Raw genomic sequence first — 26,251 nt, forward strand, 5'->3', positions numbered from 1 at the left:
TTTTGAATAATGGTTGTATTTTCAGTAGACATGGGAGAGGAAGAAGAGCATTTCAAGTAAGGAAATTTGTCACCTGGACAAAGACAGATGCTGGGAAAGTGCATCATTGTGTTTGGAGGCTAGGAGAGTGGCAGTGGGCTAGAATAGAGGGCAGGGGAAATAGTGGAAAATAACTTTAGCCCTATTGTATGTTGTCAGCTTAAATAAAAGTCTTTGTTTTCCACTTTAGATTGTTATCCTATAGGAATAACCTGGTCTCCAAAGTAAGAAAAATATGCTTTCTTGGAAAACTGAGGTTTTCAAGGAAAAGTGAATAAACACACTCTCCCTGTGTGCCTGCTTCTGTTGCAGGTTTGCCATCCTGTGACCAACACATTAGAAAGGGTGCTAAGTTCATTTTTAAAATATTTCCTGAGTTCCTATTATGTGCCAGGGGCTATTCTGGGTGCTAAGGTTCATTGGTGAACAGACACAAACCTCTGCCCTGATGGAGCTGACTTTCTAATGTAAATATGAGTCAGTGTGCTAAAGAGGACAAGGAACGGGCCAGGTGCGGTGGCTCACACCTGTAATCCCAGCACTTTGGAAGGCCGAGACGGGTGGATCACAAGGTCAGGAGATTGAGACCGTCCTGGCTAACACGATGAAACCCCGTCTCTACTAAAAATAGGAAAAAATTAGCCAGGTGTGCTGGCGGGCACCTGTAGTCCCAGCTACTTGGGAGGCTGAGGCAGGAGAATGGCGTGAACCCAGGAGGCAGAGTGTGCAGTGAGTCGAGATCATGCCACTGCACTCCAGTCTGGGTGACAGAGTGAGACTCCATCTCAAAAAAAAAAAACGAAGGAAGAAGTAGAGCAATTATTTGGTGGGAAAGAGTAAAAAAAGATTGATACTGAAGGTGGCTTAGGGTGATGCATTCCCAAATAAGATTTTGCCCACAGCATCTTTCCTTCAGTCAGGTTGCCAAGATAACGGGATTCTCCCCTTAAGTTTGGAGAGTTGGAGCCTCAGTTTGTGTTTCTGAGTCAACCAGAGGCCCTTGTTTGCAGGTCCCACCTGACTCCACTCAGACCTGGAACAGGTTCCCCAATTTGCCTGAAATTTTCCCAGGGGCAACTAGTAACCCAGATTCCAGATGAATCAGAATCTCCAGGGTTGGGGCAGGGGAGGACAGGACTCCATGGTTTTTGTTTTCTTGAAACAGAGTCTTACTCTGTTGTCGAGGGCAGTGGTGCAGCGATAGCTCACTGCAGCCTTGACCTTCCGGCTCAAGCAATCCTCTCACCTCAGCCTCCCCAGTAGCTGGGACCACAGGCATGTGCCACCACACCCAGCTAATTTTTTTTTTTTTTTTTGAGACGGGGTCTTACTCTTCTGGCCAGGCTGGAGTGCAATGGCGCCATCTTGGTTCACTGCAACCTCCACCTCCCAGGCTCCATTGATCCTCCCGCCTTAGCCTCCCATGTAGCTGGGACTACAGGCATGTGCCACCATGCCCAGCTAATTTTTATATTTTTTTAGTAGAGACAGGGTTTTGCCATGTTGCCCAGGCTGGTCTCAAACTCCTGAACTCAAGCGATCTGCTCACCTTGACCTCCCAAAGTGCTAGGATTACAAGCATGAGCCACTGTGCTCAGCTGGTATTTCATGTTTGTTTGTTTGTTTGTTTTTTGAGACAGAGTTTTGCTCTTGTCATCCAGGCTGGAGTGCAATGGCACGATCTTGGCTCACTGCAACCTCTGCCTCCTAGGTTCAAGCAATTCTCCTGCCTCAGCCTCCCAAGTAGCTGGGATTACAGGTACCCGTCAACAGTCCTGGCTAATTTTTGTATTTTTAGTAGAGACACGGTTTTGCCATGTTGGCCAGGCTGGTCTTGAACTCCTGACCTCAAGTGATCCACCCGCCTCGGCCTCCCAAAGTGCTGGGCTTACAGGCGTGAGCCACCATGCCCAGCCATTCATGTTTTTAATAACCAACTCCAGTTCATATTATTATTATTATTTATTTATGTATTTAGTTATTTATTTTGAGACAGAGTCTCACTGTCACCGAGGCTGGGGTGCAGTAGCTTGATCTAGGCTCACTGCAAGCTCCGCCTTCCGGGTTCATGCCATTCTCCTGCCTCAGCCTCCCGAGTAGCTGCGACTACAGGCGCCCGCCACCATGCCCAGATAATTTTTTGTATTTTTAGTAGAGATGGGGTTTCACCATGTTAGCCAGGATGGTCTCGATCTCCTGACCTTGTGATCCGTCCGTCTCAGCCTCCCAAAGTGTTGGGATTACAGGCATGAGCTACCACACCCGGCCTTCATATTATTTTGAAGCAAATCTCAGATGTCATTTTTTTTTCATTCATACCTATTTCAGTATGGATTTCTAAAAGATACAGATTCTTTTTTTAAAAAATGTGATCCCTGAGGTCAAGTGATTGAGACCATCCTGGCCAACATGGTGAAACCCCCATCTCTAAAAATACAAATATTAGCTGGGCGTGGTGGCGCGTGCTTGTAGTCCCAGCTACTCGGTAGGCTGAGGCAGGAGAATCGCTTGAACCTGGGAGGCGGAGGTTGCAGTGAGCCGAGATCACACCACTGCACTCTAGCCTGGCAACAGAGCGAGACTCCGTCTGAAAAAAAAAAAAAATAGTGCACGCCTGTACAACTGAAAAAATTTAACAGAATGATATATTTATAATTCATCAGGAATTACAGAATTTCAATGCTGATGGACTCTGGGAAATTGTAAATTTGTAGGATTAACCTAGGATTATGGAATTATATGAGCTTTTAATTAGGCAAGGTCTTTGGGAGCACAGTCTCCATACAAAACACAGCTGCCTTATATTTAAAACCTGGGTATTTTTTCAATATTTATTATACCCACTTATGTGCTATTTGCTGGGGATATGAAGACAAATATGATGAGATTCCTGTTTTTGAGGGTAGTACTATAATATCTTTTTTTTTTTTTTTTAATACGGAGTTTTGCTCTTGTTGCCCAGGCTGGAGTGCAATGGTGCGATCTTGGCTCACTGCAACCTTCACCTTCCAGGTTTAAGCGATTCTCCTGCCTCAGCCTCCCGAGTAGCTGGGACTATGGGCATGCACCACTGTGCCTGGCTAACTTTGTATTTTTAGTAGAGATGGGGTTTCTCCATGTTGGTCAGGCTGGTCTCGAACTCCCGACCTCAGGTGATCGCCTGCCTCAGCCTCCCAAAGTGCTGGGATTACAGGCAAGAGCCACTGTGCCCAGCTGTTTATCTTAATGAAATGTGGGCCCTATATGTATACCTATTCTCTTGCTTGCTAAAATAATCATGGATGTCTTGATTTTCACGGATTTCTGTTTCCATTGCCAGATTCACCATTGTTGATGATCATTCCTTTATAATAGATGACAAGTCATGGACTTCTGGGAGTTTGGGAGCTGGTTAAGTGAAATGATTTTCAAACTTTTTTCTTGCAGTTGAGTAAGAATTGAGCTACTCAGCTGAAGGGTGTGTGTGGGGGAGAGATGGGAGTGTGAAGAGTGCCTCCACCACCAGCTGTTTTAGGCCTCCAAGACAGCTCCTGGATACCTTAAAGAATACTGGGTCCCAAAGTTAAACACTCACCGATGTGGTCTGTTAAGTTCATTAAGAAATGGGAAACAGGACCCAGAGGTTGGAGCTTCTTTGTCGTCACATGATTAGTCAATGTCAGTATCCAAAACAAGCCCTGTGACTTCCAAATTCAGTGTCCTTGCCCTGTGTCTCCAGCCTCTGTAAAGCCTTGCCAGAAATTCTCCCCAGCCCCCTTCATGGTTGGTCACTCTTTCCCCCATGTTATAGCACATTTTTTTGCCAGCTGGATTGCTTAGTATGTTAGGCTTATTTCTTTTTTTGTTGTTTTTTTAATACTTTAAGTTCTGGCCTCCCCTAGCCCCCGGCACCCCCCCCAACAGGCCCCGGTGTGTGATGTTCCCCTCCCTGTTCTCATTGTTCAACTACCACTTATAAGTGAGAACATGCAGTATTTGGTTTTCTGTTCCTGTGTTAGTTTGCCGAGAATGATGGTTTCCAGCTTCATCCATGTCCCTGCAAAGGATATGAACTCATTCTTTTTTATGGCTGCTGTTAGGCTTATTTCTGCCCCACCTCATTCCTACCTCAAGTAGGAATTAAAGCAGTTTAAAGACCTTCAAATTCTTCATTTCATGAGATGAACGAGGGTCGTTTATTGCCTATGTTAATTGTCGTCTTTTCCAACTATGAGAATTTTTTTTTTTTTTTTTTTTTTTGAGACAGAGTTTCGCTCTTGTTGCCCGGACTAGAGTGCAGTGGCACAATCTTGGCTCACGGCAACCTCTGCCTCCCAGGTTCAAGCGATTCAGATTCAAGCCTCCTCACCTCCCAGATTCAAGCAATTCTCCTGCCTCAGCCTCCCAAGTAGCTGGGACCACAGGCCCAAGCCACCATGCCCAGCTAATTTTTTGTATTTTTTGTAGAGATGGGGTTTTGCCATGTTGCCCAGGCTGGTCTCCAACTCCCGAGCTCAACCGATCCACCTGCCTCAGCCTCCCAAAGTGCTGGAATTATAAGCCACCGTGCCCAGCTGGGAATTTTTATTTATTTATTTTTCTTTATTTTTTGAGACGGAATCTCCCTCTGTCACCCAGGCTGGAGTGCAGTGGCATGATCCTACCTCACTGCAACCTCTGCCTCCCAGGTTCAACCAATTCTCCTGCCTTAGCCTCCTGAGTAGCTGAGATTATAGGCGTGTGCCACCACACCTGGTTGAGTTCTGTATTTTTAGTAGAGACGGGGTTTCACCATGTTGGCCAGACTTGTCTCGAACTCCTGACCTTAGGTGATCCACCCACCTCAGCCTCCCAAAGTGGTGGGATTACAGGCGTGAGCCACTATGCCCGGCCAAATTTTTAAATTTCTAAGTCTTTCTTGTAATAATTTGCCTTACTCTTTTCCACCCACTCCTCCTTGCTTTTAGGAGGCCCTAGCTGATGACAAAATAAATGAAGAAATCCTTGGTTGAATAATAACTAAAAAACTTAAAGCCAATCATGCTGAGTTTGACAGCTTCTTTTCTCCCCAAATGGATATAATTGTGAAAATATTGTCATGTTTTCTTCTAGCAAAACGTCATATTATTTCACAAAAAGCCCAGCGATTTCACCTGAAGAAGCTTGGGAACTCCTGCCAAAAATTGTAGCACTTCTCACATTGCAATGGTAATGAATTGTTGCATGTCTGTCTTCCAAAAGAAAGTGAGTTCCTTCAAAACGGGAACCATGCCAGAAGGTGAAGTCTTGCAATTTCAAAATGTAACAGCACAGAACAATTACAATATAGTAAAAAGAATAAGATGAGAATACTTTACATCCTTATCGACATGAATCGTTATTTGCCCTGCATAAGTGGCTATTCATGGCATAACTTTTTGATGATGACACCCATTGGAAAACTGTTTGCTCAAACACAATAGTTCACTTTTCAGCCTTGCTTCTTCTGTTCTACAAAATGTGAAGGATTTTTAAATTTGTTATTACATTTATGTCATACTATTTTATATTCCCACCCCCTAGCATAGTACCTGGCACTAGTGTTTGTTAAATGAATAATGAATATTCTTTATGCCCATTGAATAGCTTTATTAGAGACAGGAATTAAAGAAGGAGCCTTTCTAATTTCCTAAGCTGTTTTTCAAGGGTAGAAAACAAAAGGAGGCACAGGAGAAAACTGTATAAACAATTTAAATATCTGTCCTCCTTCCTTCTCCCTTTCTCCTATTCTCCCTCTTTCTGAATACTCTGATCCTATAATCTCTGCCGATGAACTCATATAACCCCTTCAAGAGATTTGGTTCAAGACCTTATAAATGACTATGGGGCCAAAATCGAGTAACCGGGTCTGGATTTAACTTCCTGTGTAGAAATGGTGAAAATCAGACACAATATATGAAATAATGGTATTTTAGATATTAGATATCAGGCAGCACAGGACAGTGACTCCTGAGAGGACAAAACAAATGAGATGAGCCCTGTAACCAACCCAGCTTACTGTCAAGAGTGTTTCCTTACCATAGCTCAGGGGAGGAGGAATCCACAGGAAGGCTGATAATCTTCCTGAGTTGAGCTGATGTCTCTGAGAGGTTAAAATGGCCTAAGTTTGGCCGGGCACGGTGGCTCACGCCTGTAATCCCAGCACTTTGGGAGGCCAAGGCGGGCAGATCACGAGGTCGAGAGATCGAGACCATCCTAGCCAACATGGTGAAACCCCGTCCCTACTAAAAATACAAAAATTAGCTGGGCGTGGTGGCGCACGCCTGTAATCCCAGCTACTCGGGAGGCTGAGGCAGGAGAATCACTTGAACCTGGGAGGCGGAGGTTGCAGTGAGCTGAGATTGCGCCACTGCACTCCAGCCTGCTGACAGAGCGAGACTCCATCTCAAAGAAAAAAAAAAAAAAAAGCCTACGTTCCCAGGGTACCCAGAGTACCAGAGAGAGAGAGCACTGCACTCCACTCTACTATCTGGAGATCTACAGAGTCTTTCTCAAGTTTTCAGCTGATAACTGATGTGTTTAAGAAAACTTCCTAAGTTCTGGGAAGAAACACTACTTGGAGCTCACATAGGGCAGAGAATAGTTTGTGTTCCCATCTGCAAGAGTGCAAAAACCCTTGTAATTCATGGGATATCAGATGAAGTACTCAGAAGGGTATTTATTGCCTCACTATAGGGCAAAATGAATCCTAAAGATTGACAAAGCTTAAAAGCAATCCTTAAAAGGATCAGACATTTTGTAAAGAAACTTTGTAAAGTAACTTAACTGTGTCCTAGACAAAGCTCAAAAATATCCAACACCTGATAATGTAAAATTAACAATGTCTGACATCCAATAAAAAAATGACCAGGCACGCAAATTTGGGACCAACCACAACAACAAAATCAATCAATAGAAAGAGATGCAGAAATTATACAAATGATAGAATTAATCATTTTTTTTGTTGGCCAGATGAGGTGGCTTATGCCTGTAATCCTAACACTTTGTGTGGCGGAGGTGGCGGATTGCTTGAGGCCAGGAGTATGAGACCAGCCTGGGCAACATGGTGAAACCCTGTATCTACAAAAAATACAAAAATTAGCTAGCCATGGAGCTCATGCCTGTAATCCCATTACTTTGGGAGGCTGAGGCAGGAGGATCACTTGAGACCAGGGGTTCAAGACCACCCTGGGCAACACAGTGAGACCCTGCCTCTTCAAAAAAAATTTGTTTAAGTTGTTACTATCTTATATAAGTTCAAGAAAATAGTGGAAAGATTAAACAAATAATGGCATGGAATCTCATCTTGGGCCAAGACAACAAAGCAAAAAAAAATTTTAAATAATAATGACATGGAGTATTTTAAAAAGACCCAAATTGAACTTCTGGAGATGAAAACTACAGTGTTTTAAAATAAAAGCGCACTGGATGGGATTAACAGAAGATTAGAGACTGCAGAAGAAAAGATTTATGAATCTGAAGATATATGAATAGAAGCTATCCTAAATGAAAGCCGGAGAGATTAAAATACTAAAAAAGGCCAGGCATGGTGGCTCACACCTGTAATCCCAGCACTTTAGGAGGCCAAGGCAAGAGGATCGCTTGAGCCCAGGAGTTCAGGACCAGCCTCCTGGACAACATAGTAAAACCCTGTCTCTACAGAAAATACAGAAATTAGCTGGGCATGATGGCAAGTGCCTGTGGTCCCAGCTACTCAAGAGGCTGAGGTGGGAGGATCACCTGAGCCCAGGAGGTCGAGGCTGCAATCCGCTGTGATCCTGCCACTGCACTGCTGCTTGGGCAGCAGAGCAAAACCCTGTCTCAAGAAAATTAGTAAATTAAATTAAAAAAATAAAAGACTGAAAGAAAATACAGCATCATTGAGCTGTGGGACACTTCAAATAGTCTAATGATGTAATTGTAGTCCCCAAAGAAGAGGGAGGGGCATAAAATATTTGAAAAAATTAATGACTGAAATTTTTCTAAATTGGAGGGAAACTATAAACCTGCAGATTCTAGAAGCTTAGTGAACCCTAACCACTGGAAGCATGAAGAGAACTACACCAAGGCTTTTCATAATCAGATTGCTTAAAACCAGTGGTAAAGAGAAAAATATTTAAAGTGTCCAGAGGAAAAAATGACACATTATGAAAAAAAGAAAGGTAAGAATGATGGCAGACTTTTCTTTGGAAATAATGCAAATGAGAAATAGTACATCAGTATCTTTAAAGAACTGAAAGGAAAAAAACTCATCAATCTTGAACAATATGCCCAGTGAAAATATATTTCAAAAACGAAGGCAAGATAAACACTTTTTGTGGGGGTGGGGATAGAATCTCTGTCTGTCTCCCAGGCTGGAATGCAGTCACACAATCACGGCTCACTGCAGCCTCAACCTCCCCAGGCTCAGGTGGTCCTCCCACCTCAGCCTCCTGAGCAGCTGGGATTACAGGTGCGCACCACCATGCCCAGCTAATTTTTTTATTTTTTGTAGAGGTGGGGTTTTTCCATGTTGCGCAGGAGGGTCTCAAACTCCTGGATTCAAGCAATCCACCCACTTCAGCCTCCCAAAGTGCTAGGATTACAGGCGTGAGCCACCGTGCCCATCTCACACTCTTTAAAGATATATCAAAACTGAAAGAATTAATCAGCAAAGACCTGCACTACAAAAAATATTAAAGGATTCCTTTCAGGAGAAGGAAAATGATACCAGATGGAAATCTGGATTTACTTAAGAGAATGAAGAACACTAGAAGTAGTAAATATGTCAGTAAAAATAAAGTGACTGCAGTTCATTTTACCTTCAATAGGTCCGGGGGTAAAAATGTGATTTTGAAGACTGCAACTATTCCGTAGTTCATGTCTGCTTAAAGTCTCTCAATAATTTGCTAACCTCAGCACCTTTTAGAGGTAAATTTGTTTGTAAATTATTAGGAAGTTATGACTCATGTTATAGCAACTTACTACAAGTAAAGCAAATGTCAGTAGTTTTTGGTAAGGTATCTCGTATTGGCTCTTGGTGGGTTTTTTTTTTTTTTTTTGAGACACGGTCTCACTTTGTCACCCAGGCTGGAGTGCAGTGGCGTGATCTCAGCTGACTGTAGTCTCAACCCCCTGAGTTCAAGCCATCTTCACTAGGCTATATACATACACATATGTATATGTATATATATAAATTATATATATACACAACACACATGTATACATACATATATATACACATACATGTATGTATATGTATATATACGTATACATACATATACATGCATGTGTGTGTGTGTGTGTGTGTATATATATATATATATATATTTTTTTTTTTTTTTTTTTTTAGATGAAGTCTTGGTCTGTTACCCAGGTTGGAGTTCAGTGGCACGATCTTGGCTCACTGCAGCCTCTGCCTCCCAGGTTCAAGCGATTCTCCTTCCTGCCTTAGCCTCCCAAGTAGCTGGGATTACAGGCATGCGCCACCATGGTCGGCTAATTCTTGTATTTTTAGTAGAACAGGGTTTCACCATGTTGGCCAGGCTGGTCTCGAACTCCTGACCTCAGGTGATCCGCCTGCCTCAGCCACTAGGCTATTATTTTTGAAAGAAGCAAAAGAACAGATAAGCAGATAAAGGAGGAAACAAAAACATTTGTAATAGTGGCCACATACCAAATTTCAGTTTGCGCAGTCTTTGAAATCCTGTTCTATTACTTTTTTTTTTCTTTTTTTTTGAGACAGGGTCTCACTCTATCACCCAGGCTGGAGTGCAGTGGTGCAATCTCAGCTCATTGCAACTTCCACCTCCTGGTTCAAGAGATTCTCATGCCTCAGCCCCCATAGTAGCTGGGATTACAGGCACGCACCACCACGCCTGGCTCATTTTTTTTGTATTTTTAGCAGAGACAGAGTTTCACCATGTTGGCCAGGCTGTTTTATGACTCCTAAGGGTGAAGTTTGGTTTTCTTCCATTGCTACTGGTCAGAATATCTTTTTTTTTTTTTTTTTTTTTTGAGATGGAGTCTCGCTCTGTTGCCCAGGCTAGAGTGCAGTGGGGCAATCTTGGCTCACTGCAACCCCCATCTCCTGGGATCAGGCAATTCTCCTGCCTAAGCCTCCCGAGTAGATAGGATTACAGGCATCCACCACCACATACAGCTAAATTTTTTGTATTTTCAGTAAAGACAGGGTTTCACCATGTTGGCCAGGTTGGTCTCAAACTCCTGACCTCAGGTGATCCGCCCATCTCGGCCTCCCAAATTGTTGGGATTACAGGCGTGAGCCACCGTGCCCAGCCCAGAATATCTTAAATAGGCAAAACTGATTTGCTGAACTGGGTTTCCTGAAATATCTGTTCTTGCAACCAATTATGTTTCTTCATGAGAGCTTAGATTTTCTCCCTCTGTGTGGAAAAAAAATTAATACACTGTTATATCTCTGCCTTGGAGGTCTTTGAAGTTTTGCTGTGAACTTAATTAAATTCAGACTGTTTTTAAGATACAGTATTTCTTGGCCGGGCGTGGTGGCTCCTGACTGTAATCCCAGCACTTTGGGAGCCTGAGGTGGGCGGATCACCTGAGGTCAGGAGTTCGAGACTAGCCTGACCAACGTGGAGAAACCCTGTCTCTACTAAAAATACGAAATTAGCCAGGCATGGTGGTGTGGCCCTGTAATCCTATCTCGGGAGGCTGAGGCAGGACAGTCACTTGAACCCGGTAAGCGGAGGTTGTGGTAAGCCAAGATTGCGCCATTGCTCTCTAGCCTGGGCAACAAGAGAGAAACTCTGTCTCAAAAAAAAAAAAAAAAAAAAAAAAAGATACAGTATTTCTTTTAAGACAGCTGATGTGGCTTATTCTCCAGGCCAGTAGGCTGCTTTAAAATATTCTAAGGGCTGGGCATGGTAATTGTAATCCCAGCACTTTAGGAGACCAAGGTGGAGGATCACTTAAGTGCAGCAGTTCGAGACCAGCATGGGCAACATAGTGAGACCTCGTCTCTACCAAAAAAAAATGAAAAAAAAAAAAGTTCTAAGTATTTAGCTGGGCACTGTAGCATACACCTGTAATCCTAGCTACTCAGAAGACTGAAAGGGGAGGATCGCTTGGGCCCAAGAGTTCAAGGCCAGGCTGGGCAACATAATGAAACCCTGTCTCTTCAAAAAAAAAAAAAGTTCTGAGTATTTGGTATATTTAGTATACTTAAGGAAAGCGAGCCTTACTTGAGGTTCTTTTTAAATTTTATTTTATTTTTGAGATAGGGTTTGGTACTTTTGCCCGGGCTGGAGTGCAGTGGCACGATCACGGCTCACTGCAACCTTCATGTCCTGGGCTCAAGTCATCCTCCGACCTCAGCCTACCAAGTAGCTGGGACTAAAGGCAAGCACCACCACACCCAGCTAAACTGACTTGAGGTTCTTGTACTTCATTTTGTGTCCTTCTTCTCCTTGTTTTATTAATTGTTTTTCTTTTTTGATTAGATCTTACATGCATGTGGCACAAATTTCAAAATGTACAAAAGGACATATAAATAAAGAGTATCAGCCGGGCGTGGTGGCTCACGCCTGTAATCCCAGCACTTTGGGAGGCCGAGGCGGGCGGATCACGAGGTCAGGAGATCAAGACCATCCTGGCTAACATGGTGAAACCCAGTCTCTACTAAAAATACAAAAAATTAGCTGGGCGTGGTGGTGGGCGCCTGTAGTCCCAGCTACTCGGGAGGCTGAGGCAGGAGAATGGTGTGAACCTGGGAGGCTGAGCTTGCAGTGAGCCGAGATTGCACCACTGCACTCCAGCCTGGGCGACAGAGCGAGACTCCATCTCAAAAAAAAAAAAAAAAAATTGTGTATCTTCCTCTGTTCCCCAGTCACCCTGTTTTCTTCCCAGAAGCAACTAGTGTTACTGGTTACCTGTGCTTCATTTTAGGTTCTATACATTTACACACACACATCATTTATATGTGTGTGTGTGTGTGTGTGTGTGTATATATGTGTGTGTGTGTATTTCCCCCACACACACATTTGGGAACATAATGTACATAATATTCTGCACCTTTCTTTTTTAATTGACCATATATCCTACCAAGTTAGTATGATTAAAACTGCCTCATTAGTTTTAATGACTGCAGAGTACTCCACTATGTAGGTAAACCATAATTGATTTAACCAGGACATTTAATCATGGACATTTAGGGTTTTTAAGAGAGTTTTTTAAATTAAGATATAATTTACATACCATAAAACTCACCCTTTTAAAGTATATAATTCAGTAGTTTAATACAAGAACTCTTTTTTTTTTTTTTAAGAGGCAGAGTCTGGCTCTGTCGCTTTGGCTGGAGTGCAGTGGTGTAATCATAGCTCACTGCAGCCTTGACCTCCTACGCTCAAGCAAACAATCCTCCCATCTCAGCCTCCCAAGTAGCTGGAACTACAGGTGTGCATCAGCACACTCAACTAATTTTTAAATGTTTTGTAGAGATTGGGTCTCACTACATTGCCAAGCAGGTTCAAGAACATTTTTATTGCCCCAGAAAGAAACCCCATACCCATGACATCTAGGGTTTTGCCGTCCTTTGTTAAAACCAATTAATACTAAAATAATAATAATACTGCCCTGGATATTCTTATACACATATCATTTGGCACATGTGAAAGAATACCCACGTGACAGCTGGTTATGGTGGCACATACCTGTAGGCCCAGCTACTTAGGGGGTTAAGGATCTCTTGAGCCCAGAAATTCAAGTCCAGCCTGGGCAACATAGAGAGACCCTATCTCTAAAAAAAAAAAAAAAAAAAGTGAGTAAAAAAGAATATCTGCAGTACAAATACCTGGAAATGGATTTGCTTGGTAAGCTGATCTGTGCACTTAAGATTTTGAAAGACATTGCTAAATTGCCCTCACTAGAGGTTATATGAGTCTGTATCCTGTCAGTGTATAAAAGTTCCTATTTCCCCACTCCCTGCTAGCAGAATCCTTCATCCAACTTTTCTGTCTTTGCCAATCTGACAGGACATGTAGTATCTCACTACAATATTAATTTTTATTTCCCTTATTGTAAGTAAGGTTGATTATTTTATATGCTTAGGAGCTAGTTGTATTTCCTTTTCTGTGAATTGATTGCTCATAAACTGATTAAATCTTTGATATTCTGGATGGATCCTGATAAAAAAATTTTCCTTATTTATAAGAGCTCTTTATGTATTAGGGAGAAAAGCCCTGATAAAAAATTTTCCTTATTTATAGGAGCTCTTTGTGTATTAGGGAGAAAAGCCTTCTGGGGTATGAAGTGGAGGTATTTTTCTTAGTTATTTTTGTTTATTTGTTTTAGTCTTTGACTTTGCTTATGATGTGTTTTTCTTTTATCATGCAGAAGCTTTGCACTTTATGTCGTTGACTTTGTCAGTCTTTTATGACTTGTGTGTCTTATGACATCCTTAGACTTTCCTCACTCCAAGATTGTTAAAAAAAAAAAAATTCTCCCATGAGTTATTCTATTACTTTAAGGTTCTTTCTCCATCCACCATTTAACTCCTAGATCCATCTAGAATTTATTTTTGTGTAAGATATGAGGTGTGAATCTACCTTATTTTCCCCATATGGTTAACAACTTTTCCCCACCGCTTTGAAACGTCATTTTTACACTGTGTCCTCTTGATTAAAAGCTATTATTTAAGATGTTTGTTGGTGCAATTCAGAACAGTTTTAAATATTAGCTTTAATTTTTTAAGAGAGGTAGTCAGGTGTTCAGGACAGTGATTTCTGAACTCTTGGGGTGCCTACAGCCCCCTTCCCTCCACGACAAATCCCACTGTCTAGTGCTATTTACAGAGGGGAAGACGTCTTGCTCATGTCTGTTGGGCCAAGAAATAGTTTCCAATCACTCATCCAGGGATTTCCCCTTAGCCTCATAAAATCCACCTGGGGTCAGCCACCCATCTAGGGATTCCAGGGTTGTTACTTGAATGTGAAAAGAGCCTCAACAGGAGTCCAGAAGTAAATGGAGAATCTTTCCAGAGAAAACAGAATTCTTCACTTTTAGGTCATTAGTGACTGATCTTCAGATTATCTTCTCGTTTTATTTATTTTTATTTTTATTTTTAATTTTATTTTTTGAGACAGAATCTCTCTCTGTCACCCAGGCTGGAGTGCAGTGGCATGATCTCGGCTCACTGCAACCTCTGCCTCCCAGGTTCAAGCAATTCTCCTGCCTTAGCCTCCCGAGTAGCTGGGACTACAGGCAAGTGCCACCATGCCTGGCTAATTTTTTGTATTTTTAGTAGAGACGGGTTTCACCGTGTTGGCCAGGCTGATCTCGAACTCCTGACCTCAGGTGATCCACCCACCTCGGCCTCCCAAAGTGCTGGGATTACAGGCATGTGCCACCATGCCCGGCCTATCTTCTCATTTTAAAATCATAGACAATTTTACAATTTTGCTCTGGTAAATTTACTTTGATGGACCATAGGTCATCTGGTGAAAGGAACCCCTGGATTAGGCTATATTATGACTACATTTTGGCATTATTTGAAGCTAGAGAATACAGGGCTAAGGGTCATCTCTTTTAATTTGAAACTGTTTAAGGTGAGAAAAGAGTGTGACCCTTTAAAAAGCAGAATTCTCAGGGTGCCCCTGACTGTAAAGGCTCCTAGAGTTGTACCTACTGGGACCAGAGGAGAAGGCCTGTCTGGCAGTTCCTGATGCTGCTGATAGGGGGTAGATATTCCCAGGGAGCCTTCTTTCAAGCCAAGTGTTTGACTCCCTGTTTTGTTTGGTAGAGAAGGTTGCACAATGGCTTTTAATCTCATTCAATATTATAAAAGTGTTCTGTTTGCACTACTCAAGTAGTTTGTCACTCTAAACTTAGGGGTAGCAGCTGTTCTCTGTGCTTGAAAGTGCTAGTGGTAGTAACACCTCAATGGAGTGACTGGTGTTGACTTCCTGCCTCAGGGCTTGTTTAACCCTTAGGGCACCTCATCAAGTAGAGGAACTAGGCAAGTGTGTCAAGTAAGGAGGGAAGCTGGGAGAGTTGTGGAAGTGTTTTTCTTTGGTATAGGCTATTTTTCACTTACATTTTTATTAATTAGTTTGTTCCAGAGACGGACACTTAAAAAAAATGAATTCACAAAGGATACAGGGGAATTCAATTTAAGCGGTCATGTTAAAAAAGTAATATCTCCTTTATAGGCTTAATGTATGTCATAATTGGCTAATTTTTTCCATATGATTATGATGCCTGAGAGACAAGCCTATGGTATGCTGATGAGCCATGGTTAATACAATTTTATCTCACTAAATGTCGTCAGGATTTAAGGGAAGACCTTCACACAGATTTTTCTGTATCTACGTGATGATCATTTTCCTGCTTTTCCTTTCTGTCCCATCTTCACTCCTCCACAGTCATGTTACACTAGTATAGTCATGTGAGTGTGCCCATGAGTGACTCCAAGTTGAGTTCTAAAAAGCAGATTTCACTTAGCCAGCTGCCCTTGTCAGTTTCAGCCTTGGGAGTCACCTTTTGGTATCTTTTCCCACTGCTTCTTCCTCCTTTCTCAACCATCATTTCTCCTCTCCACTGGATTCTACTCACAGGGTTTGTAATCTCCCAGATCATTCAGCATCTGAATGAATTCAGCCGCCAAGGGGAAGATCACTGGCAGATCCCAGTGGGGGTACTTACCCCTTCCAGACTCTTCCTGAGGAAAGCAAGTTACCTTCCATGTAGCAGGAGTACATTTTATACTAGTTTGGCCTTGTGACTGTTAGAGTGGGAAGTCTGAGGGAACTGGAGAAGAGATGCAGTTTTAACAGAGGAAAAACATTTAGTAGAGACTGTCCCTTCTGCCTTCGGGCGTGTCCCTCTTCTGGGCATCTTTTCAGGATTTCATTCCTACGTCCAACTGCCGTTCACAACTGCCCTTTCCAACTGCTCCAGAACTCTTGGCCCTGGCATTCCGTGATGTAAATTATTCCACACATGGCTCAAAAGGGTGTGAAGCTGTGTGCCAGGTGTCGGATCACTAGTGTAAGTTTCCCAGTCTGTGGGGAGAGCTGCTCTTGGAATCTGTGCAGTTGTTGTTGTTTCAGCCCAAGCATAGTCATTTCACTGGCTAAGCTTGACACTGTCGCTGGTGGGGGAGAGAGGGATCTCGGGGCCTGGAGCTAGGGTGAACTTTTTTGGTTGAGATTCTCTACTTTAAGGATTCTAGTGTTAGGATGTAGATTGTTTGGAGTTGAACAGGGGTGGTGCTGCTGCAAAAGGAGAATGTGGGACCGGCCGGCCAGAGCCTGCAGAGACTGCCTGCGGCTAGGGTGCCCCCTCTTCTCTCTCTAAATGCAGGAAGAACCATTTTCCTATCTTCCTAAAGATAGCCAGAATATGGCAAAAAATGTAGGTTGCTCACCATGTTTAGGAACATTGAGTCACAAAATTAAAAGACCTCTATGTCTATGAGATCTTTTCTAAAACATAAATATTATTTCTCCCCTTGTTTATTGTACATTTTGAGGAAGTTACTGTTCATGGTTTATAGCCCCTTGGGGGAATCTGCATGTGAGGGAGGTTGCTGCCAACTATCTTTGATTTGTCTAGATTCTTTTTTGACTTATAAGTTAAAGGTTTGTTTTCAATAAAAAGTTTAAATTGAATACTTTATCTCTCAAATGACCTCAAAATTTTTAAAATTACATTAATATTAAGCAGAGGAAAACTCACGTGAATTACAGTTATTTATCCAGAAAAGTGTAAGGCATACTTTTGTATTGCATTGATACTACTGTCTTTAATCTGCTTTACTGAAACCTGTTTTCCTCTCCCTTTTCTTTATAGTTGTCATGGATGATGATGATGACTCGTGTCTCCTTGATCTTATTGGGTAAGATGCTTATTCCAAAACCTGGGTAAATCAAATGTGTGAGGTTTGCTGAACACTAAGACAACCTAATAGCATATAACACCTGATAGGTATTTTAAATAAAAATTAAATAATAATCATAGGTTTAGTAGAGAAACAGAGACATGATTAACATAGGGGTTGTAATTCAGTAATTCTTTTTTTTTTTTTCCTTTTGAGACAGGGTCTCACTCTGTCACCCAGGCTAAAGTGCAGCAGCACAATCTCAGCTCACTGTAGCCTCCACCTCCCAGGCCCACACGATCCTCCCACCTCAGCCTCCCAAGTAGCGGGGACTACAGTCACACACCACCATGCCTGGCTAATTTTTTGTGTTTTTTTTTTTTTGTAGAGACAGGGTTTTGCCATGTTGTACAAGCTGGTCTCCAACTCCTAGACTGAAGTGATCCTCCTGCCTCAGCCTCCCAAAGTGCTGGGATTACAGGCATGAGCCACTGTGCTCAGCAAGTAATTATTTATTAAATTTATTTCCTAATAAATCCCAGGAGGCAGAAGTGAATAATAATAGGAAATGGCACAACATCAAAACAAAAACAAGATTAAAAAAAAAAAAACCTACTAATAGTTTTAAAATAGGGAGAGGATTTTACTCAGGTAATAAATCATTTTCTTTCTACTCTAGTAAAAATTAGTTCTAAATATAGATAGTATATTTGTTTGTTGTTTTATCTCTTTTTTTCCTCTCTTTTCTAGAGACCCACAAGCATTGAACTATTTTCTACATGGACCTAGTAATAAATCTGTAAGTAATGCATAGAATACCACAGACATCTATTTTGTTTCTGCTTTACAGTTAAAGTAGTAACCACCTATTGAATTTGTATCTTTGCAGAGCAATGATGACTTGACTAATGCAGGATATTCTGCAGCCAATTCAAATTCAATTTTCGCCAACTCTAGTGTGAGTATTGGAAACTAAATGCAATGATTGAATGGTTTCTGTCTGATTGATGCCTTGTGAACTGAGCCTTTAACTGCCTTTGTATCATGAGAATCCTTACCTTGTCTGTTGTAATTAATTTAATTTTATTTATTTATTTTGAGATGGGGCCTCACTCTGTCGCCCAGACTGGAGTGCAGTGGTGCGATCACAGCTCACTGCAGCCTTGACCTCCCAGGCTGAAGCGATCCTCCCACCTCAGCCTCCCGAATAGCTGGGACTACAGGCGCATGCCACACGGGCTAATTTTTGTATTTTTAATAGAGACAGAGTTTCGCCATGTTAGCCCGGCTGGTCTTGAACTCTCAGGCTCAAGCAATACACCTACCTTGGCCTCCCAAAATGTTGGAATTACAGGTATGAGCCACTGTGCCCAGCCTGTTGTAATTTATATAGGAAGAAAATCTATTGAATTATGTAGACATTTTCTACTTTTAACTTAGTCAATTAAGACAAGCTATGTGGCCAGGTACAGTAGCTCACACCTGTAATCTCAGCACTTTGGGAGGCCAAAGTGGGAGAATCATTTGAGCTCAGGAGTTCAAGACCAGCCTGGGCAACATAGCAAGACCCTGTCTCTATTTTTAAAAAATAAAATAGACCAGATGTGGTGGCTCATGCCTGTAATCCCAACACTTTGGGAGGCCGAGGCAGGTGGATCACGAGGTCAGGAGTTAAAGATCAGCCTGGCCAAGATGGTAAAACCCCATCTCTACTAAAAATACAAAAAAAAATTGCCAGGCATGGTGGTAGGCGCCTGTAATCCCAGCTACTCGGGAGCCTGTGGCAGAGAATTGCATAAACCCAGGAGGCAAAGGATGCAGTGAGCCGAGATCCCGCCACTGCATTCCAGCCTGGGCGACAGAGCGAAACTCCATCTCAAACAATAAATAAATAAATAAATAAAATAATACACCAGGCATGGTGGCTCACACCTGTAATCCCAGCACTTTGGGAGGCCGAGGCAGGCAGATCATGAAGTCAGGAGATCGAGACCATCCGGGCCAACACGGTGAAACCCCGTCTCTACTAAAAACACAGAAATTGGTGTGGTGGCGCGTGCCTGTAATCCCAGCTACTCAGGAGGCTGAGGCAGGAGAATCGCTTGAACCAGGGAGTTGGAGGTTGCAGTGAGCCAAGATCGCACCATTACACTCCAGCCTGGCCACATAGGGAGACTCTGTCTCAAAAAAATAAAAAAAATAAAAATAAATAATAAATAATAAAAAGACAAACTATATGAGGTTGTCTTTTAAATAATAAAAAGACAAGTTATATATCCACTTTGCCATTTTTCTAAGCTTTCAACTTTCTTTTTTTGAGACGGAATCTTGCTCTGTTGCCCAGGCTGGAGTGCAGTGGCACGATCTCGTCTCACTGCAGCCTCTGCCTCCTGGGTTCAAGCAATTCTCCTGCCTCAGCTTCCCTAGTAGCTGGGATTACAGGTACCCACCACCACACCAGCTAATTTTTGTATTTTTAGTAGAGACTGCGTTTCTCCATGTTGGCCTGGATGATCTTGAACTCCTGATCTCAAGTGATCCCCGCCCCATTACAGGCGTGAGCCACTGCACCTGGCCTCAACATTCTTTCTAAAATGACTCAGAAATGTTACAACCTGAGAAACTCATATTAGAATGTTTTGAACCTTGTTACATAATAATCTTTAAAGAAATTATTCTTAATTCATAGTTACTTATAAGTTGTTTTCATCTTAAATGAGAAAAACAAAGATAATGAGTAACACTTGAGCATTTAGTATGTGCTTGGCATTAAGAGCTTAACATATATTAACCTCAGCCAGACATGGTGGCCCATGCCTATAATCCCACCATTTTAGGAGGCCAAGGCAGGAGGATTACTTGAGCTCAGGAGTTTGAGACCAACCAGCATAGTGAGACCCCATCTCTACAAAAAATTTAAAAATTAGACCAGCAGCTGGGCGCAGTGGCTTACGCCTCTAATCCCAACACTTTGGGAGGCCGAGGCAGGCAGACCACGAGGTCAGGAGTTCGAGACCAGCCTGGCCAACATAGTGAAACCCCATCTCTACTAAAAATGCAAAAAATTAGCCGGGCGTAGTGGCGTGTGCCTGTAATCCCAGCTACTCAGGAGACTGAGGCAGGAGAATTGCTTGAACCTGGGAGGTGGAGGTTACAGTGAGCCAAGATCACGCCACTGCACTCCAGCCTGGGCGACAGTGCAAGACTCTGTCTCAAAAAAAAAAAAAAAAAAAAATTGGCTGGGCGCGGTGGCTCACGCCTGTAATCCCAGCACTTTGGGAGGCCGAGGTGGGCGGATCATGAGGTCAGGAGATCAAAACCATCCTGGCTAACACGGTGAAACCCTGTCTCTACTAAAAATACAAAAAAATTAGCCGGGCGTTGTGGCGGCTGCCTGTAGTCCCAGCTACTTGGGAGGCTGAGGCAGGAGAATGGCTTGAACCCGGGAGGTGGAGCTTGCAGTGAGCTGAGATTGCGCCACTGCACTTCAGCCCGGGCGACAGAGCAAGACTCGGTCTCAAAAAAAAAAAAAGAAAAAATAGATGAGCATGGTGGTGCGTGCCTATAGTCCCAGTCCTGCTGAGGCAGGATCCCTTGAGCCCAGGAGTTGGAGGCTGCAGTGAGCCAAGATTGTGCCACTGCACTCCAGCCTAGGTGACAGAGTGAGACCCTATCTCAAAAAAAAGAAACCCAAGACATGTATTAACCTCATTTAATCTTCACAATGATTCCATGAAGTGGTTCTATTAAGATACATATTTTGGCCAGGCACGGTGGCTCACACCAACACTTGTGAGAGGCCGAAGTAGGTGGATCACCTGAGGTGAGGAGTTCAAGACCAGCCTGGCCAACATGGCAAAACCCTATCTCTACTAAAAAATATAAAAATTAGCTGGGCGTGGTGGTGGGCACCTGTAATCCCAGCTACTTGGGTGGCTGAGGCAGGGAGAATTGCTTGAACCAGGAAGGCGGAAGTTGCAGTGAGTCGAGATCGGGCCACTGCACTCCAGCATGGGTGACACAGTGAGACTCTTGTCTCAGGGGAAAAAAGAAAAAAAGATACATATTTTAGAGATGAGGAAACTAAAGCACAGAAAGGTTAAGTTACTTGGCCAAATAGTACACAGCCATGAGTTGCAGAGCTAGGATTCTAACCCAGGCCACCAGGCTCTGGAAACTCATGTTCTTTTTTTTTTTTTTTTTTTTGAGACAAGAGTCTCGCTCTGTTGCCCAGGCTGAAGTGCAGTGGTGCAATCTCGGCTCACTGCAACCTCCACCTCCTGGGTTCCAGCAATTCTCCTGCCTCAGTCTCCTGAGTAGCTGGTATTACAGGCGTGTGTCACCGTGCCCGGCTAATTTTTGTATTTTTAGTAGAAACGAGGTTTCACCCAGTTGGCCAGGCTGGTCTTGAACTCCGGACCTCAGGTGATCCACCCGCCTCGGCCTCCCAAAGTGCTTGGATTACAGGAGTGAGCAACTGTGCCCAGCCTCCATGTTCTTAACCTCCAGGGGCATCTAGGCAACAAACCTGACCTGGGGGATTGGAGTGTCCTGCCTGGAGACTATATCGAGATTACTGTGTTTGAGCCTTAGGTTCCCTTACTCTTTTCAGTTGCTTTGTTGTGCTGTGGATGGTAGTCAGAAGTTGTACTGCCCAAGGTTGACTCCTTGCCCTACCACTTATTAGCCATGTAACCTTAGATATATCACTAAATCTCTGTGAGGGTCAATTTCCTCTTGTTTGTTTGTTTTTTTTTTGAGACAAAGTTTCGCTCTTGTTGCCCAGGCTGGAGTGCAATGGCACAATCTTGGCTCACCGCAACCTCTGCCTCCCAGATTCAAGTGATTCTCCTCCCTCAGCCTCCTTAGTAGCTGGGATTACAGGCATGCGCCACCACCCCCAGCTAATTTTGTATTTTTAGTAGAGACAGGGTTTCTCCATGTTGGTCAGGCTGGTCTCAAACTCCCAACCTCAGGTGATCCGCCCGCCTCAGCCTCCCAAAGTGCTGGGATTAATAGGTGTGAGCCACCGCGCCTGGCCAATTTCCTCATTTATGAAACCAGAATAACAATGGAATTACCTCAGAGGGTGGTTAACATTAGTTGACTATACTGTTGAACTCACTTGGTATGGTGCTCAGTAAATATTAACTTACTATCATCAGGACCTATATTTTCTTCACCTATAAAATGGAATGGTGTTCAGAAAGTCCTTGGGATGGACAGTTCTTTTTAATAGTCACGTGTGTGTAAGGCACGTAAGATCATATCATGCAGGATATCTCTGCCACAACACTGATCTCTGGTAAGGCTTGTGAATCAGTAGCATTTCTGACATTCATTTTGAACAAATAATCACTACATATGATGCCATTAAACCCAGAAAGTAGATACTTGGCCTATCCCTCAACATTAATGATTTTTATTTAGCAACTGTCCTATTTCCATGTGAGTATTAATTCTATCTTTTCAAATTGCTTCATTCAATATGTATTTATTGGCAACTATTTTTGCATCATGTCGGTGTAGTAGCAATCTCGAAAATACTCTGAGGCTGGGGACGGTGCCTCACGCCTGTAATCCTAGCACTTTGGGAGGCCAAAGCAGGAGGATTACTTGCGTGCAGGAGTTCAAGACCAGCCTGGGCAAGATGGTGAAACCCCATCTCTAAAAACCAAAAACAAAAAAATTTAACTCGGTGTGGTGGGGCACACCTGTAGTCCCACCTACTCAGGAGGCCGAGATGGGAGGATCTCATGAACCCAGGAGTTCACAGCAGCAGTGAGTTATTATTGGGCCACTGCACTCCAGCCTGGGCAAAAGATCGAGACCCCAGATCAAAAAATTAAAAAGTAAATAAAGTCTGTGGCAGTATCTCAAAAAAATGAAGCTAAGCTCCAAGTAGTCCTCAGTATGTTCGCATTATCTGTTCTCTATAAAATAATTTATCAGCATGATGGATGCATATACTTATAATGTCAAGCATCATTATGATGGAAATAAAATATCAGAATAAGGTGAGCAGTTTAGAGAGTTATGCCTGAGAAGCAGACTGTCATGCTTTATTCATATTCAAAAGTAAGATTGGCCAGGCGCGGTGGCTCACTCCTGTAATCCCAGCACTTTGGGAGGCCGAGGCGGGCAGATCATGAGGTCAGGAGATTGAGACCATGGTGAAACCCCATCTCTACTAAAAATACAAAAAATTAGCTGGGCGCGGTGGCAGGCGCCTGTAGTCCCAGCTACTGGGGAGGCTGAGGCAGGAGAATGGCGTGAACCCGGGAGGCGGAGCTTGCAGTGAGCCGAGATCACGCCACTGCACTCCAGCCTGGGTGACAGAGCGAGACTCCATCTCAAAAAAAAAAAAAAAAGTAAAAGTAAGATTAATTTTTATGCATCCTTTTCAAAGGTTACATATGCCATGTAACATACTGTTTATTTTTTTAGAATGCTGATCCTAAGTCATCCCTCAAAGGTGTAAGCAACCAGCTTGGAGAAGGGCCCAGTGATGGACTGCCACTTTCAAGTAGCCTCCAGTTTCTTGAAGATGAACTCGAGTCTTCTCCTCTTCCTGATCTCACTGAGGACCAACCTTTCGACATTCTTCAGAAATCCTTGCAAGAGGCCAATATCACTGAACAGACATTGGCAGAAGAGGCATATTTGGATGCCAGTATAGGTTCAAGCCAACAGTTTGCACAAGCTCAGCTTCATCCTTCTTCATCAGCATCCTTTACTCAGGCTTCTAATGTTTCTAATTACTCAGGTCAGACGCTGCAGCCTATAGGGGTGACGCATGTGCCTGTTGGAGCATCGTTTGCAAGCAATACAGTGGGTGTACAACATGGCTTTATGCAACATGTGGGGATCAGTGTTCCCAGCCAGCATTTGTCTAATAGCAGTCAGATTAGTGGTTCTGGTCAAATACAGTTAATTGGGTCATTTGGTAATCATCCTTCCATGATGACTATTAATAACCTAGATGGATCTCAAATCATATTAAAGGGCAGCGGGCAGCAAGCCCCATCAAATGTGAGTGGAGGGCTCCTGGTTCATAGACAGACTCCTAATGGCAACTCCTTGTTTGGGAACTCTAGTTCCAGTCCAGTAGCACAGCCTGTTACCGTTCCATTTAACAGCACAAATTTTCAAACATCTTTACCTGTGCATAACATCATCATACAAAGGGGTCTTGCACCAAATTCAAATAAAGTCCCAATTAATATACAGCCAAAGCCTATCCAGATGGGTCAGCAAAATACATACAATGTGAACAATTTGGGAATTCAGCAGCACCACGTACAACAAGGGATCTCTTTTGCTTCTGCAAGCTCACCCCAGGGCTCAGTAGTTGGTCCACACATGTCTGTGAACATTGTAAACCAACAGAACACAAGAAAGCCAGTCACCTCACAGGCAGTGAGCAGCACTGGGGGCAGTATTGTTATTCATTCCCCCATGGGCCAACCTCACGCACCCCAAAGTCAGTTCCTTATACCTACAAGCCTTTCTGTCAGTTCCAACTCGGTACACCACGTCCAGACTATAAATGGGCAACTTCTTCAAACTCAACCCTCTCAGCTCATTTCTGGCCAAGTGGCCTCAGAGCATGTCATGTTGAACAGAAACTCTTCCAACATGCTCAGGACCAACCAACCATATACTGGACCGATGCTTAACAACCAGAATACTGCTGTCCACTTAGTGTCTGGGCAGACATTTGCTGCCTCTGGAAGTCCAGTGATAGCCAATCATGCCTCTCCTCAGCTTGTGGGTGGACAGATGCCCTTGCAGCAGGCATCCCCAACTGTATTACACCTGTCACCTGGGCAGAGCAGCGTTTCCCAAGGAAGACCTGGCTTCGCCACCATGCCATCGGTGACAAGCATGTCAGGACCTAGTCGGTTCCCTGCTGTCAGCTCAGCCAGCACTGCCCATCCTAGTCTTGGGTCTGCAGTTCAGTCTGGTTCATCAGGATCAAACTTTACAGGAGATCAGCTGACCCAGCCAAACAGGACTCCAGTACCAGTCAGTGTGTCTCATCGTCTTCCAGTTTCTTCTTCCAAGTCTACCAGCACCTTCAGTAACACACCTGGAACAGGAACCCAGCAACAATTCTTCTGCCAGGTAATGCCCTTTCCCAAATAAATATTTGGCTGATTATAGAATGGAAAAATGAGATGTGTATTTACTAGAATATAATTTTCATCCTAGGCATCCAATTTCTTAAAAATTTTAGGCCAGGTGTAGTGGCTCATGCCTGTAATCCCAACACTTTGGGAGGCCAAGGCTGGAGGATCACTTGAACCCAGGAGTTCGAGGCCAGCCTGGGCAACATAGTGAGACCCTGACTCTACCAAAAATTAAAAAATTAGCTGAGTGTGGTGGTGCACACCTGTAGTCCCAGCTACTCTGGAGGCTGAGGCAGGAGAATAGCTTGAGCATGGGAGGTTGAGGCTGCAGTGAGCCATGATTGTACCACTGCACTGGGTGATAGAGTGAGACCCTGTCTCAAAAAAAAAAAATTTTTTTTTACACTTATGACTGGTTATCTTTTTTCTTGATTTTCTTTTTTGCCAGGGGGCAGGGGTAGGGGGTCTCACTTTGTCGCCTAGGCTGGAGGGCAGTGGCGCAATCATAGCTCACTGCAACCTCAACCTACTGGGCTCAGATGATCTTCCCACCTCAGCCTCCCAGGTAGCTGTGACTACAAGCACATACCAGCACACCTAACTAGTTTTTTGTATTTTTTGTAGATTTGGGGTTTCGCCGTGTTGCCCAGGCTGGTCTTGAACTCCTGGGCTCAAGAAATCCCCTGGCCTTGGCCTCCCAAAGTACTGGGATTACAGGCCACCACACCCGACCTTTTTTCTTAAAATTTTTTATCCAGTGTAGCATTGTAGAGTGGAGACTCTGGAGTTAGACTCTTGAGTTTGAATCTAAGCTTTATGACATGGAAAAAGTTAACTTACCATTCTAGACTTAATTGTCTTCATTAGTGAAATGGGGATAATGATACTGCCATCCCATGGAGTTATCAGGAGGGTGAAATGAGATAATCTATACAAAGCACTTAGACATAGACCCTGGCAAATAGCAAATACTCCATAGGAGCTTGTATTTATACTTAATTAAATTCATTATGGGCATTTAAAATGAAAGCTTATTTTAGGTTATGTATTTACATTGTATAGCAGGCTATTAGGACATGTGACTGTGGACTTGTTGAAGATGTGGTAGCTGCTTCTTGGTTGCCAACAGGAAAGGCTCAGGGACTCAGTGTGACTCAGTAGTGGGTAACTGGCCTGCCCCAGAGGGAAGCACATAAAGGGAGAGATCGAGGCACTCTCATTTGACCAAGTACCTGACCTGAGCTTGCTC

The 26,251-nt window shown here is 43.3% G+C and overlaps 1 protein-coding gene across 10 annotated transcripts in view; it reads left to right on the forward strand.

The window, feature by feature from the left end:
* Window positions 1–26,251, forward strand: part of BICRAL (BICRA like chromatin remodeling complex associated protein) — a 122,218-nt gene that overhangs the window by 58,837 nt on the left and 37,130 nt on the right. For 6 of the 10 annotated variants that reach the window (XR_007059228.1, XM_047418544.1, XM_047418547.1 and 3 more), the window contains 4 exons: window positions 16,843–16,888; window positions 17,621–17,669; window positions 17,760–17,828; window positions 23,318–24,997. Coding sequence is in view for 9 of the 10 variants with exons in the window: in XM_047418544.1 (XP_047274500.1) it covers window positions 16,843–16,888; window positions 17,621–17,669; window positions 17,760–17,828; window positions 23,318–24,997 (1,844 nt within the window). In the remaining variant the exon portion in view is untranslated. Of the gene's footprint in view, window positions 1–5,130; window positions 5,227–15,880; window positions 16,039–16,842; window positions 16,889–17,620; window positions 17,670–17,759; window positions 17,829–23,317; window positions 24,998–26,251 lie in introns of those variants that run through there. The other 4 variants (NM_001318819.2, NM_001393499.1, XM_024446390.2 and 1 more) reach the window with 2 other exon arrangements.

This window comes from Homo sapiens, chromosome 6, assembly GCF_000001405.40.
Source record: "Homo sapiens chromosome 6, GRCh38.p14 Primary Assembly".
NCBI classification, from domain to species: domain Eukaryota; kingdom Metazoa; phylum Chordata; class Mammalia; order Primates; family Hominidae; genus Homo; species Homo sapiens.